The sequence below is a fragment of the Homo sapiens genome, chromosome 19, assembly GCF_000001405.40.
Source record: "Homo sapiens chromosome 19, GRCh38.p14 Primary Assembly".
Lineage (NCBI taxonomy): Eukaryota > Metazoa > Chordata > Mammalia > Primates > Hominidae > Homo > Homo sapiens.
The window spans coordinates 12,373,846-12,389,210 of record NC_000019.10 but is presented as its reverse complement, the minus strand read 5'-3'; positions in this window follow the sequence as shown (position 1 = coordinate 12,389,210).

Sequence of the window (15,365 nt, the reverse complement as noted above, 5' to 3'; positions counted from 1 at the left end):
ATCTGTAGCCTTCCCAATAAGCACAATTGTATTTGTAATTGTGAAGCTCTTCAATAAAACCACTGTGGTACATTCAAGGTTAGCATCAAGACTCCAAGAAATCAGCCAAGGTCAGGTGGATGTAAGTCACTTGAATGCACTTGATGATGCCTTGATCTAGTGACGCAGCAGTGATGTAGTTTTAGGAGGCAGAAATATCACTTGCATGTTCTTTTAGGCAAAACAAAGAGATTGGAGAGATGGCCTGGAGTGTTGTCAATTCTGAGGAAGACCTTGAGTGGCAGTCCCTTCTCTTTGAGGTATTCCATCACATCAGGAGTGAAGCATTGCTAGAAGAAAGCCTTCTTATGTTCTTGCCAGGACACAGGCCAGCAAGTTTTGCTTTTGTCCTAAAGAACCTGGTGATTGCTCAGTAGATGAAGCCTCGCTTGTTCTCATGAACTAATGCATGGCCTGACAGCACCAGAATAAGGTGGTCTTTCCAGGCCTCGAACCCTAGTTCCTGCACTCATGACGGAAGGTACCATTGGGCATCTTCTAGAACATGCCTGATTCATGACAATAGAAGATTTACTCTGGAAGATAGTCTTTCTTTTTTCTGTTTTATGAGCTCTTCTAGGAATGCTGTTGTTTCCGTGGCTTCAGCCGATGCCAGTTCTCCTGTGGTCTTCAAGTTCTTGGGCTGCACTGTGTTGCATAGTTAGCCTAGCCAGAACTTACTGGCTTCAAACTCCTTCCTCTTGCTCTCCTCAGCCCCCTCACAGTGATGCTCATAGAGGCTAAATGTTTTTTTGTTTGTTTGTTTTCTTTCTTTCTTTTTTTTTTTTTTTTTGAGACGGAGTGTTGCTCTGTCGCCCAGGCTGGAGTACAGTGGCGTGATCTTGGCTCACTGCAACCCCCACCTCCCGGGTTCAAGTGATTCTCCTGCCTCAGCCTTCTGAGTAGCTGGGATTACATGTGCGCGCCACCACACCCAGCTGTCTTTTGAGTAGAGACTGGGTTTCACCATGTTGGTCAGGCTGATCTCGAACTCCTGACCTCGTGATCCACCCGCCTTGGCCTCCCAAAGTGCTGGGATTACAGGAGTGAGCCACTGCGCTTGGCCCGGCTAAGTGTTTTTTCAAGTATGATGTTACCATCAGCAGGGATGTGGTTCTGTGACATGTCCTCTAGCCACATACTTAATGCTTTCTTAGTCTTTATCCTTAGTTTATCATAAACCAGAGGGATCATTTTTGCCACCCTACGGTGGCAAAAGCTCTAACACCTTCAAGAACTTCAGCTTCTCTCAGTTTTAGTGTGTGGTTTCTTGGTTTGTTCTTACTTTATGATGAAATTTTCAAGGTGATACACCACTTTTCAAAACATCTTGGGTTTGTATTTTCTTATTGAGAGATACCACTTTTTAACCACTGCTAGCCTTTTAGGGATAGGTTTGACCACTTGATTCCTTCTTAGGAGCCATTTTTTAACATTTTTTATTTTTTTACATATGACATCTCAAGGGTCTCTGAATGAACAAAACAGTCTTCAAAAGCCAGAACAATGGCCAGATGTGCCTCACTTCTGTAATCCCGCCGCTTTGGGAGGCTGAGGCAGGCGGATCACGAGGTCAGCAGTTGGAGACTAGCCTGACCAACATGGTGAAATTGCATCTCTACTAAAAATACAAAAATTAATCGGGCATGGTGGCGCATACCTGTAATCCCAGCTACTCAGGAGGCTGAGGCAGGGGAATCACTTGAGCCTGAGAGGTGGAGGTTGCAGTGAGCTGAGATCATGCCACTGCACTCCAGCCTGGGCAACAGGGCGAGACTCTGTCTCAAAAAAAAAAAAAAAAAGAAAAAGCCAGAACAAAGTTGGTGAACTCACACTTCCTGATTTCAAAACTTATTACAAATCCATACTAATAAAAACTGTTTGGTACTAGCGTAATAACGCAGAAATAGACAATGCAACAAGATAACACAGAAAGTCTAATAAAGTCTAATAATTTACATAAAGTCTAACAATTTCTGAAAAGTCTGCTGTGACTATTCGATGGGGGATAGCTTAGTGTTTCTGTAGAATGATGCTGTTGGGCAATGCACATCCACATGCAACAGGATGACGTTGTACCCATACCTAACATGTACAGAAGTTAAAATGAATGAAATACGTGAGTGTCCATCTTAGCTGTATAACTGTTAGATGAAAATACATGGCAAAAGCTGTATTACAGTGAATTTGGCAGTGATTTCCTAGATTTGGCACCAAAAGCATGACCCACAAGGGAAAAAAATAATTTGGAGTTTGTGGACCTTTGGCATCAAAATGCAATATTAACAGAGTAAATGAGTAACCCATAGAATGGGAGAAACCATTTCCAAATTATATATCTGATAAGGGATTAACATGAGTATTTAGAAAATGATAAAAAGCTACTAATAAATCACTTATTGTGGAATAAATGTTTATGTCCTTATAAAATTTTATTTATTTTTCCACTTCCCTGATGTGGCAGTATTAGGCAATGGTTTTTTTGAGACATGATAAGGATTAGGTTAGATTATGAGAGTGGATCCTCAAAAATGAAAGTGGAATGTGCATGGTCGCTCATGCCTGTTATGGCAGCACTTTGAATGGCCAAGGTGGGAGGATTGCTTGAGGCTTGGATTTTCCTTCTTCCCCTTCCCCTTCCCCTTCCCCTTCCCCTTCCCCTTTCCCTTCCCCTTTCCCTTCCCCTTCCCCTTTCCCTTCCGTTCTCTTCTCTTCTTCCTCCCCTGCCCTCCTCTCCTTTCCCTTCCTTCCTGGAAATGGGGGTCTCAATTTGTTGCCCAGGCTGGAGTACAGTGGTGTGATTATAGCTCATTGCCATCTCCAACTCCTAGGCTCAACAGATCCTCCTGCCTCAGCCTCCCAAGTAGCTGGGACTTCAGGTGTGTGCCACCATGCCCAACCAAGGCCTGGATTTCAAGACGAGTCTGAGCAACATGGTGAGACCTCATCTATGCAAAAAAAAAAAAAAAAAAAAAAGAAAAAAGGAAAATTTAGCTAGGCTTGGTGGTATATGCCTGTAGTCATAGCTACTAGGGATGCTGAGATCACCAGATTACTTGAGCCCAGGAGTTCGAGGCTGCAGTGAGCTAGGTCATGCCACTGCACTCCAGCCTGGGCTGGAGACAGAGCGAGACCCTGTCTCTGAAACAAAGTAAAATATATGTAAAAAAAGAATTGAGGTTAATGGCTGGGCATGGTGGGTCATGCCTGTAATCCCAGCACTTTGGGAGGCCGAGGCGGGTGGATCACGAGGGCAGGAGATCGAGACCATCCTGGCTAACACAGTGAAACCCCATCTCTACTAAAAATACAAAAAATTAGCCGGGCATGGTGGCGAGTGCCTGTAGTCCCAGCTACTGGGGAGGCTGAGGCAGGAGAATTGCGTGAACCTGGGAGACAGTGCTTGCAGTGAGCCGAGATCGCACCACTGCACTCCCGCCTCGGCGACAGAGTGAGACTCTGTCTCCAAAAAAAAAAAAAAAAAATTATATATATATATATGTGTGTGTGTATATGTGTATATATATGTGTATATATATGTGTATATATATGTGTGTGTATATGTGTATATGTGTGTGTGTGTGTGTGTGTATATATATAGAGAGAGAGAGAGACTGGCACTGAGGTGGGGAGGGATTGGGCCTAGGACAAACAGAAACTCCACAAGGCTTTCCTTCCATTTTCACTTTTATTTTTATTTATCTTTATCTTTCTGTTAATTTTATGGGGTGCTGAATATTATAACTTAAGAATCCTTTATCTGTTTTTATAATGCTGTCATTTAATGAGAAGTTTTAAGCATTTTTAGACATTTTTGACTTAGATTTGGTAATGTCATTTTTGTTGACTACTAAAGGTCTGCTTTAGGGATTTATGGAATATTATACATATTCATAAGAGATGACTTTGAGTTATTTCTAAGAACATGTGCAATCCACCGTTTCTTTCCTTCTCTTTTGACATTACCTAATAATAAGTTTAAGATTTTTCCCTTGGGATTGTGAAGTATATTTTATTAGTCTTTTGTCCTACTTTACTGCATTTGATCTAGTGGAAACCAGTTGCCAGCTTCCAAATATTCTCTTACTGTAATCGCACATAGGCTGGGCCAGATCCCCCTAATCACAAGTTGCAACAAAGAATATGAAATGTAATCTACCAGGGGTGTTCATTAGACTCAGTGCTCAGAGTGTTTCCTCATGACTGTCTTTCTCTTGTTTTTTTTGCTTATAACAGAATAAGTGAACCTGGGCAATTGATAAGAAATCATACTTAGTTTTTACAGTTCTGGAGACTGTGAAGTCTCAGGTCAAGGCTGGGAATCTGGTGAGAACCTTCCTGCTGGTGGGGACTCTACAGAGTCCCTAGGTAGCACAGAGTATCACATAGTGAGGGGATTGAGCCTCTAGCTCAGATCTTTTCTTCCTCTCATGACATGACCACAGTGTTACTCCTGAGATAACCCATTTATTCACTCAGCCATTATGGATTAATCTGTTTATGAAGTCCAAACCCTCAGGACCCAATCACCTCTTAAAGCCCCACCTTTTATTACTTTCACATTGGAGATTAACTTTCAACATGTGTTTTGGAGGGGACAGACATTCAAACCTAGCAGTGGCTGATCAGGTGCACTTCCTCTGCTGAGCATGAAATAGAATTCCAGTTCTCAGAGGAATATAGGAACTAAGCAAATGCCTTATTATTTTGCATAAATAGTTTAGGTACACTCAGTCCCTTTTACTAGCCACATTGGTGGGGACCCTCCCTAAATCCAGTGCCTAGACACCATAAAAGGTCCAACATTGTAAACAAGCATTTGTGAGGATATGTAGTCTCAGGACTGCTAATGTTAACTCTTTTGCACAATAAAGAGTAGGACTTTGTCCTGATAAGAACTGCAGATCCACTGTAGAAATAGCCATGAAGGTCCATGTAATAATACTGACTTCACTTACCAACAGGAGACCCGTCCCAATTCAATTGTTGCCTTAGCAAACATTTAATTGTAGCATCAGAATTGCCATGTGGGAGACAGTGAGTGTAGACAGAAAATGAAAGTGGATTTACCATGTCACGCTTAGAAACCACACACCCTAGCCAGGTGCAGTGGCTCACACCTGTAATCCCAGCACTTTTGGAGGCTGAGGCAGGTGGATCACAAGGTCAGGAGATCGAGACCATCCTGGCTAACATGGTGAAATCCCGTCTCTACTAAAAATACAAAAAATTAGCTGGGCGTGGTGGCAGGCCCTGTAGTCCCAGCTACTCGAGAGGCTGAGGCAGGAGAATGGCGTGAACTCGGGAGGCGGAGCTTGCAGTGAGCCAAGATAGCGCCACTCCACTCCAGCCTGGGCGACAGAGTGAGACTCCACCTAAAAAAAAAAGAAGGAAACCACGCACCCTGGAAATTTAAGAGGTAAGTGTAGATTCTCAGTACTGTCAGTCTCTGCTTCCCTCATCTACATATGTGGGATGTTTCAGGACTCAGTTGCCTTTGAGGATGTGGCTGTGAACTTCACCCAGGAAGAGTGGGCTTTGCTGGGTCCTTGCCAGAAGAATCTCTACGAAGATGTGATGCAGGAAACCATCAGGAACCTGGACTGTGTAGGTAAGGATGATGTCGTATCTCCACTTAGTCAATTAGGGACATTTGCTTCTTGATGTGCAATGCTGTTGAAGATTTGGAATATGGAAAGGGGGTCTGGTTGACCATGGAATAACACAGGGTTTAGGGGTGTCAGCCCCCCAAGCAATTGTACATCCTGATATAACTTTTTTCCACCACAGTTTAACCTAATGTTCACTGGCACCCTTATCGGTCACATAAGCAGTTGATTAATACATACACTGTATGTCATATATGTTATATATTTCTCACAATGACATAAGCTAAAGAAAGAAAATGGCAATATGGGCCAGGCACGGTGGCTCATGCCTATAGCATTTGGGAGGCTGAGGCAGGCGGATCACTTGAGGCCAGGAGTTCAAGACCAGCCCAGCGAACATGGCGAAACCCCATCTCTACTAAAAATACAAAAAAATAAGCTGGGCATGGTGGCACGTGCCTGTAATCTCAGCTACTTGGGAGGCTGAGGCACAATAATTCGTTTAACCTGGTAGGCGGAGTTTGCAGTGAGCCCAGATCGCACCACTGTACTCCAGCCTGGGTGACAGAGCGAGACTCTGTCTCAAAAAAAAAAAAAAAGAAAAGAAAAGAAAAGAAAACAAAATGGTGATACGAAGATCATAAGGAAGAGAAACTGTAGTTACTATTCATTAAGTGGAAGTAGATGTTCATAAAGGTTCTCATCCTTATTGTCTTCACATTGAGTAGGCTGAGTAAGAGAGACTGGTCTTGCTATCTCAGGGATAGCAGAAACTGAAGAAATTTTGCATATAAATGGACTTGAGCAATTCAAAACTGTTTACAAGAGTCCACTGTAGTTTGGTGAATGAATCCTGCATGATTGCACTATATATAATATCTTACAGTTTTTCTATAATTTTGTAAAAATTTTTTCTGGGTCTACCCTTTAGGAATGAAATGAGAAGACCAGATCAGGGAAGATCAATACGAAAGTCACAGGATAAATGTAAGGTAATTTGCAATCACAAGAGAAAGATATGCCTCTGGAGTCATTCTTCAAATGATAGGAAATTTTACAAAGAAGCAAAGAAAATGAACAAACCCAGCTTAAATTTATTTATTCTTAGAAAATTTTCTCCAAAAGCATATACTTAATGGTTTCATAGCTATTCAAGTGTTTGCATAATAAGTTCCATGGAAGCAATGTTAAGAATCCCCATATGAATATTATTATTGGGAAAGCACCTGCCATTTAGTTACCTTGCATAGCATTCAGTCCATTCACGTTCAAGCAGGCTTCACATGAAGCCTGTGCTTTGCATGATAATGTTAAAAATGTACATCTAATACCTATTAATACATGTAAAATCATTTATAAACAAACCTTTGGCCAGGCGTGGTGGCTCACACCTGTAATCCCAGCACTTTGGGAGGCTGAGGTGGGCAGATCACGAGGTCAAGAGATTGAGACCAGCCTGGCCAACATGGTGAAACCCTGTTTCTACTAAAAATACAAAAAATAGCTGGGCATGGTGGTGTGTGCCTGTAGTCCCAGCTGCTTGGGAGGCTGAGGCAGGAGAATCGCTTGAACCTGGGAGACAGAGGTTGCAGTGAGCAGAGATGGCATCACTGCACTCCAGCCTGGGCGATAGAGCGAGACTCTGTCTCAAAAAAAAAAAAAGAAAAAGAATCCCCATACGAATATCATCATTGAGAAAGCACTTGGGGTCAAGTTATCTTGCACAACATTCAGTGCATTCACATTTAAGCAGGCGTCACCTGAAGCCTGTGCTTTGCATGATAATGTTAAAAATGTACATCTAGGCTGGGCACAGTGGCTCACACCTGTAATCCCAGCACTCTGGGAGGCCGAGTTGGGCAGATCACCTGAGGTCAGGAGTTCGAGACCAGCCTGACCAACATGGAGAAACTCCGTCTTTACTAAAAATACAAAATTAGCCTGGCGTGGTGGCACATACCTGTAATCCCAGCTACTTGGGAGTCTGAGGCAGGACAATTGCTTGAACCTGGGAGGTGGAGGTTGCGGTGAGCCAAGATCACACCATTGCACTCCAGTCAGGGCAACAAGAGTGAAACTCCATCTCAAAAAAAAAAAAAGTACATCTAATACCTATTAATACATATAAAATCATTTATAAACAAACCTTTAGTAATATACTTCCCATTTTTTACAGATGCGATATGGTAGAGCGCTTCGGTGAAAGTAAAGACAGTAGTCATTGTGGAGAAACATCTAGCCAGATTGGAGATACTGTTGTGAACAAGCACATGCCTCCTGGAGTAGGTCCACGTGAAAACAATGAGTGGAGAAGTCGTCACGGGTCTTTCATCCCTTCATTGCCACATCAGAGTTGATGCTGGGCACAAACCACATGAGTATCAGGAATATGGAGAGAAGCGTAATACACGTAAACAATTTTGGAAAACCTTCAGTTATTGCCACTCGTTTCAAACCCACAAAATTTCTCACACAGGACACAAACCATATGATTGTAAGGAATGTAGGAAGTCCTTCAATTCTTTGGGAAACCTTCAAAGACACATGGCAGTGCAGCATGGAGATGGACCTTATAAATGTAAGTTGTGTGGGAAAGCATTTTTCTGGCCCAGTTTATTTCGTATGCATGAAAGAACTCACTCTGGAGAGAAACTATATGAATGTAAGCAGTGTTCTAAAGCCTTTCATTTTTACAGTTCTTATCTAAGACATGAAAGAACACGTACTGGGGAGAAACTGTATGAATGTAAGCAGTGTTCTAAAGCCTTCCCTGATTACAGTTCTTGTCTAAGACATGAAAAAACTCACACTGGAGAGAAACTCTGTACATGTAAACAATGTGGGAAAGCCTTCAGTGCTTCCACTTCCCTTCAAAGACGTGAAACCACTCACAGTGCAGAGAAACCCCATGAATGTAAGCAATGTGGGAAAGCATTTGATCATCTGGGAAGCTTCCAAAGACACATGATAAGGCACACTAGAGATGGACCTCATAAATGTAAGATATGTGGGAAAGGCTTTGATTGTTCCAGTACACTGCAAAGTCATGAAAGAACTCACACTGGAGAGAAGAAACTCTATGAATGCAAGCAGTGTGGGAAAGCGTTATCTCATAGCTCAAGCTTTCGAAGACACATGACAATGCACACTGGAGATGGACCTCACAAAATGCAAGATATGTGGGAAAGCCTTTGTTTATTTCATTGGATTTCAAAGACATGAAAGGACTCACACTAGGGAGAAAATCTATAAATGTAAATGTGGGAAAGCCTTTAGTGATCTTTATTCCCTTCAAAATCATGAGACAACTCATATGGGAGAGAAGCCATATGAATGTAAATAATGTGGGAAAGCATTTGGTTGTTTCCAGTACCTTTCTCTTCATAAAAAAATCATACAGCAGAAAAACCTTATGAGTGTCAAACATGTAGAAAAGCCTTCAGTCATTTTGGTCACTTAAAGCAACATGAAAGGATTCACACTGGAGAGAAGCCGTATGAATGTAAGGAATGCAGGAAAGCATTCTCTTGGCTCACTTGCCTTCTACAACATGAAAGAATTCACACTCGAGAGAAACCTTATGAAGGTAAACAATGTGGTAAAGCCTTCACTCATTCCCGTTTCCTTCAAGGACATGAAAGAACTCATACCGCAAAGAAGCTATGTGAATGTAAGGAATGTGGAAAAGCATTGAGTTCTCTCAGCTCCTTGCACAGACACAAAAGGACTCATTGGAAAGATACTCTATAAATGTGTGGAATGTGGGAAAGCATTCATTAATTTTATTTTACCTGAGAAAATTAAACAAATCACATTGGAAATAAACTCTATGGCTTGGGCACGGTGGCTCATGCCTGTAATCCCTAACACTTTGGGAGGCCGAGGTGGGCGGATCACGAGGTCAGGAGATCAAGACCATCCTGGCCAACATGGTGAAACCCTGTCTCTACTAAAATACAAAAACTTAGCCAGGCATGGTGGTGCGCACCTGTAGTCCCAGCTACTCTGGAGGCTGAGGCAGGGGAATGGCTCGAACACAGGAGACGGAGATTGCAGTGAGCTGAGATGGCGCCACTGCACTCCAGCCTGGCAACAGAGTGAGACTCCATCTCAAAAAAAATAAAAAAAAAGAAAAAGAAATAAACTCTATGAATGTAAACCATGTGGTGAAGGCTTAAGTGATTTCAGTTTATTTCAAATACAGTTTTCCCCTGACATATGCAGGGGATTAATTCCAGCAGTCCCTGATCATACCTAAATCCACACATGCCAAGTTTCTTTTATAAAATTACATATTTGCATGTTATCTACCCACATCTCCCTGTACACTCTAAGTCATCTCTGGATTAAATACCTCATGCATTGTAAAAACTATGTAAATAGTTGTTTTATTGTATTATTTAGGGAATCATGATAGAAGTCTATACATGTTCTGGACAGACCCAACCATTGCAGGCCTACCTGCATAGTACATGTCACCTATAACATTATAGTTTTTTTTGTTGTTGTTGTTCAACACTGGCAGATTGCTTTTGTTTAATTTTCTTCAAGAGCATGTTAATACCAAAATTCTAATCCTTCTTGCTTGATTACCCAAGTATAATGATTATGATAATGCTGATTGCTGTATGGTGACTAATATTACGTGTAGAGGTGACTAGATGTGTGGCATAATAGATAAGCAGTGAGACATCAGGCTAACTTGAATCTTGACAGGATGTCTGGACAATCATTTGTGTTGGAAGAACCAGGTTCTGATTGCAGATGTTGACACTTGGAGGAGGCTAAATAGTACTAATGTCAGGATCTGTTCAATTTGAGGGCCAAAGATCTGTAAGCATTGAAGGGTCTGTCTTCATATTTGCAGATATTTAGTTAGAAACAGCGTTGTAGAAAGCCGGTTCTTCTTTTCCTTTAAATCATCAAAAAATCCTTGCAGTGTTTGTTGGCATGTTATCCCTCAGGTGAAATGGAGGCTTTCTTCCATGGAAGGATCTGACTTGAGGATGGTAATCTTTAATACTTGCACCTTGCAGAGGCTGTAGATGCCCCAAAAACTGCTGCAAATTTTTCAAGTGTCCACATCTCTGGACAACCTCTTCTACGTGTTCGGCATCATCATCGTCCTTATCTGGAGAGGATTTCAGCATATCTTCGAGTTCCTTGTTAGTAAGGATTTCTGTATGCTCTTCTATGCTTTCCTCAACATTGTCTTCAGTCCAGTCAGAGATAATCTTCCCCACCAACTTGCCTTGTAACATTTGGGATATTCCTGCCTACCGTATCAATACCCGAGAAGACCCTGAAATCGTTGACTCCCACACTCCATAATGGCTTCCAGCATGCTTTGGCTGTCTTGACCTTTAGGACATCTACACCCTCTGTCATATGCACAATGGCATCTGCAGTTGTGAAGCTCTTTCCATAAATCCACTATGGTACAGTCATGGGTAGCATCAGGACAACATGAGTTTGGGCCAGGAGCAGTGGCTTACCCCTGTAATCCCAGTGCTTTGGGAGGCCAAGGCAAGAGAATCTCTTGAGCCCAGGAGTTTGAGACCAGCCTGAGCAACATAGATTCCATCTCTAAAAAAATTAAAAGACAACATGAATCCGCCTACAGGTGAGAAAGGTGAAAGTCACCTTAATCTTCCTGATGCCTTGATTAAGTGGTTGTAGCAGTGATGTAGTTTTAGGAGGCAGGAACATCACCTCCACATTTTTTATCAGCATAAAGAGATGGCCAGGAGCATTGTCAATTATGAGGAGGCTCTTGAGTGGCATTCCCTTTTCTTCAAGGTAGTTTTTCACTTCAGGAATGAAGCATTGGTAGATTCAAGTCTTCTTGTGTTCTTGCTGGCACACAGGCAACAAAGTTTTGCTTTTGTTTTAGAGAATCTAGTGATTGTTTGCTCAGTAGATAAGGCTGGCTTATTCTTGTGACCCGATGCATTGCCACATAGCACCAGAGTAAGGTGATCTTTCCTGGTCTTGAACCCCAGGGATTGCTTGACACTGTTTGTTTGTTTGTTTTTTGAGATGGAGTCTTGCTCTGTCACCCAAGCTGGAGTGCAATGGCACAATCTCGGCTCACTGCAACTTCCGCCTCAGCCTCCCGAGTAGCTGGGATTACAGGCGCCTGCCACCACGTCTGGCTAATTTTTGTATTTTTGTAGAGATGGGGTTTCACCATGTTGGCCAGGCTGGTCTTGAACTCCTGACCTCAGGTATCTACCCGACTTGGCCTCCCAAAGTGCTGAGATTACAGGCGTGAGCCACCGCGCCCTGGTTCACACTCTTTTGGATGAAGGGACTATTGGGCATCATCTTTCAGAACATGCCCAATTCATTATGATGGAGGACTTGCTCTGGAAGGTAGTCTGTTTTTTATGAGTTTCATTAACTCTTTTGGGATTTTTTTTTTTTTTTTTTTGAGACGGAGTGTCGCTCTGTCACCCAGGCTGCATTGCAGTGGCGCGATCTCGGCTCACTGCAACCTCCGCCTCCCAGGTTCACGCCATTCTCCTGCCTCAGCCTCCTGAGTAGCTGGGACTACAGGCGCCCGCCACCATGCCCGGCTAATTTTTTTTTGTATTTTTAGTAGAGACGGGGTTTCACCATGTTAGGCAGGATGGTCTCGATCTCCTGACCTCGTGATCTGCCCGCCTCGGCCTCCCAAAGTGCTGGAATTACCAGCATGAGCCACGGGGCACCGCGCCTTGGGTTTTTTTTTTTTAAAGAGACATGATCTCGCTCTGTTGCCCAGGCTGGAGTGTAGTGGCATGATCATAGCTCACTGCAGCCTCAACTCTTCAGGTCAAGCAGTCCTCCTACCTCAATCTCCTGAGTAGCTAGGACTACAGGTGCATATCACCACACCCAGCTAATTTTAAATTTTTTTGTAGAGATGGAGTCTTGCTGTTACCCAGGCTGGTGTTGAACTCCTGGGCTCAAGAGATCCTCCCACCTTGTCACCACCCAGTGGCAATTCTCCTGTGGTCCTTAAGTTCTCGTGTCTGTAGTGCTTTACCTAGCTGACCCAGCTAGATTTCATGGGCCTGAAACTCCTTCCTCTCGCTCTTCTCAACTGTCTCACTGTGGTGCTTACAGAGGCTAATTTTTTTCATGTATCATTTTACTATCAATAGAGATGTGGTTCTGTGACATGTCCTCTAGCCACACTCTTAATGCTTTCTCATTCCTTATATTCAGTTTATCATGATCCAGAAGGATCATTTTCACCATTATAGGAGCAGCTCTAACACTTCCAGGAACTTCATTTTCTTTCTGTTTTTCTGTTTTTGTGTGCGAATGCTTAGTTTGTTCTTACTGAGCCTACTTTCCAAAGTTAAATGCCCCTTTTCTAAGAATCTAAGATTCTTACTTCTCATTGAATAATAGCACTTTTTACTCTCTGCTGTCCTTTTAGTTATAGTTTTGACCTCTTGATTTATTTCTAGGAACCATTTTTCCCCATTTTTTCATTTTTTACATTTGGCATCTCAAGGGCCTCTGAATAGACAAAACAGTCTTGAAAAACAAGAACTAGGTTAGTAGGCTCTAACTTCTGGATTTCAAAACTTAACTGCAAATCTATGCTAATAAAAAGTTTGGGCCAGGCACGGTGGCTCATGCCTGTAATCCCAGCACTTTGGGAGGCTGAGGTGGGCGGATCGCCTGAGGTCAGGAGTTTGAGACCAGCCTGACCAACATGGTGAAACCCCATCCCTACTAAAAATTCAAAAATTAGCCGGGCGTCGTGGCAGGTGTCTGTAATCCCAGCTACTCGAGAGGCTGAGGCAGGAGAATTGCTTTAACCTGGGAGGCAGAGGTTGCAGTGAGCTGAGATCACACCATTGCACTCCAGCCTGGGCGACAAGAGCAAGACTTCGTCTCAAAAAAAAAAAAAGAAAAAGAAATAAGTGATATAACATGGAAATTTCCAAGTTGGATGAATGCAGGAAATCTTGGGGCCATGATCTTATGGAATGGATGTAGAGTCAATGTTTAACTAAGGAAGGACAGTAAATTCTGATTTCACATAATATGTCTTCGCGATGTAGGGGATGATCTATTTTTTGTTATACTTGTTGTGAGATTTTGTAGTGATTAATCGAATGTTTATCATGTAAATGATAATATCACAATTGGGCAGTTTTCCAGTGATTTATGGATAAATTCCAGTGATGTAAAAAACATATTTATCCACCAGACGCGGTGGCTCACGCCTGTAATCCCAGCACTTTTGGAGGCCGAGGCGGGTGGATCATCAGAGGTCAGGAGTTCGGGACCAGCCTGACCAACATGGTAATACCCCGTCTCTACTAAAAATACAAAAATTAGCTGGGCTTGATGGCGCATGCCTGTAATCCCAGCTACTTGGGAGGCTGAGGCAGGAGAATTGCTTGAACCCAGGAGGCAGAGGTTGCGGTGAGCTGAGATCGCATCATTGCACTCCAGCCTGGGAAAGAAGAGCAAAACTCCATCTCAAAAAAAAACAAAAACAAAAACATATTTATCCTGTATAGCTCTATTATATGTTTGCCTTTCTGGGGTGTTTCGTTTCATGTGTAACAACTCTTAGGGTTGCACATCCAACAGTACTTTCTTATAATTATTGCTTTCCCCTTGGTAGTCATTTAGTTAACTCAGGTTTTTACAGTGTTATTTGTGAATATAAAACATACATTACATTTTTATGTGTTCTAGGCCCAAGAATTCACCAACTAGTTATTATTTTACACAGTTGCTTTGTAAATCCATGAGGAGAAGAAAGGTGAGGAAATATACATTTAGTCTGGATATTATATTCATATAATGATCTTTAATGGTGCTCTCTCTCTTTTCTTGCGGATTTTGCCATCCTTTGGTTTCAGACATAAGGACTTTCTTTCATCTTTCTTGTAGGTCTGGTGTGGTAGGAACAAATCGTCTCAATATGTATGTTTTTATTCTTGAAAAAGACTTTGTTTTGTCTTTCATTTTAAACATGAGCTTTCCTTGATGTAGGATTCTTGGTTAAGGTATGTTTCAGAGCACAGCATGATGAGAAACTGTTGTGTGACAGGCTTCCCACTGAAAAGGAGGATCATAAGCTAACAAAAGGAAACATAGCCAGGCACAGTGGCTCATGCCTGTAATCCCAGCACCTTGGAAGGCCAAAGCAGGATGATGACTTGAGCCCAGGAATTCAAGACCAGCCTGGGCAACATAGTGACACCCCATCTCTAGAAAAAATTTTAAAATTAACTAGGCATGGTGTTTTTAACCTGTAATCCCAACTACCCAGGTAGCTGAGGCGGGAGGATTACTTGAGCCCAGGAGGTCAAGGCTATAGAGTCATGATTGCAACACTTTACTCCAACCTGGGCAACAGAGTGAGACCATGTCTCAAAAAAAAAAATAAATAAATAAAATAGTTCTATTTCATTCCTCTCACTATTACAGTAGTCTATAAAACTTATTGTCAAAAATCAATAAACAATATAAAAACTAGGATGGAAAAAAAATTATTGTGTTTAGAGATGATAGCCATATTTGGTTGGGAAACTAAAGACAAAACATTTAAAAGTATTAGAAAACCATTAAAACTTGGGAAGGAGTGAATTTCCTACTTATGGAGTAAATGTATACTGCATTTACAATAACATGTACTGTATGCTATTGAATTAAAATCACATTTCTTGCAAAAATATATAAATTTCTGAGGAATAGGGC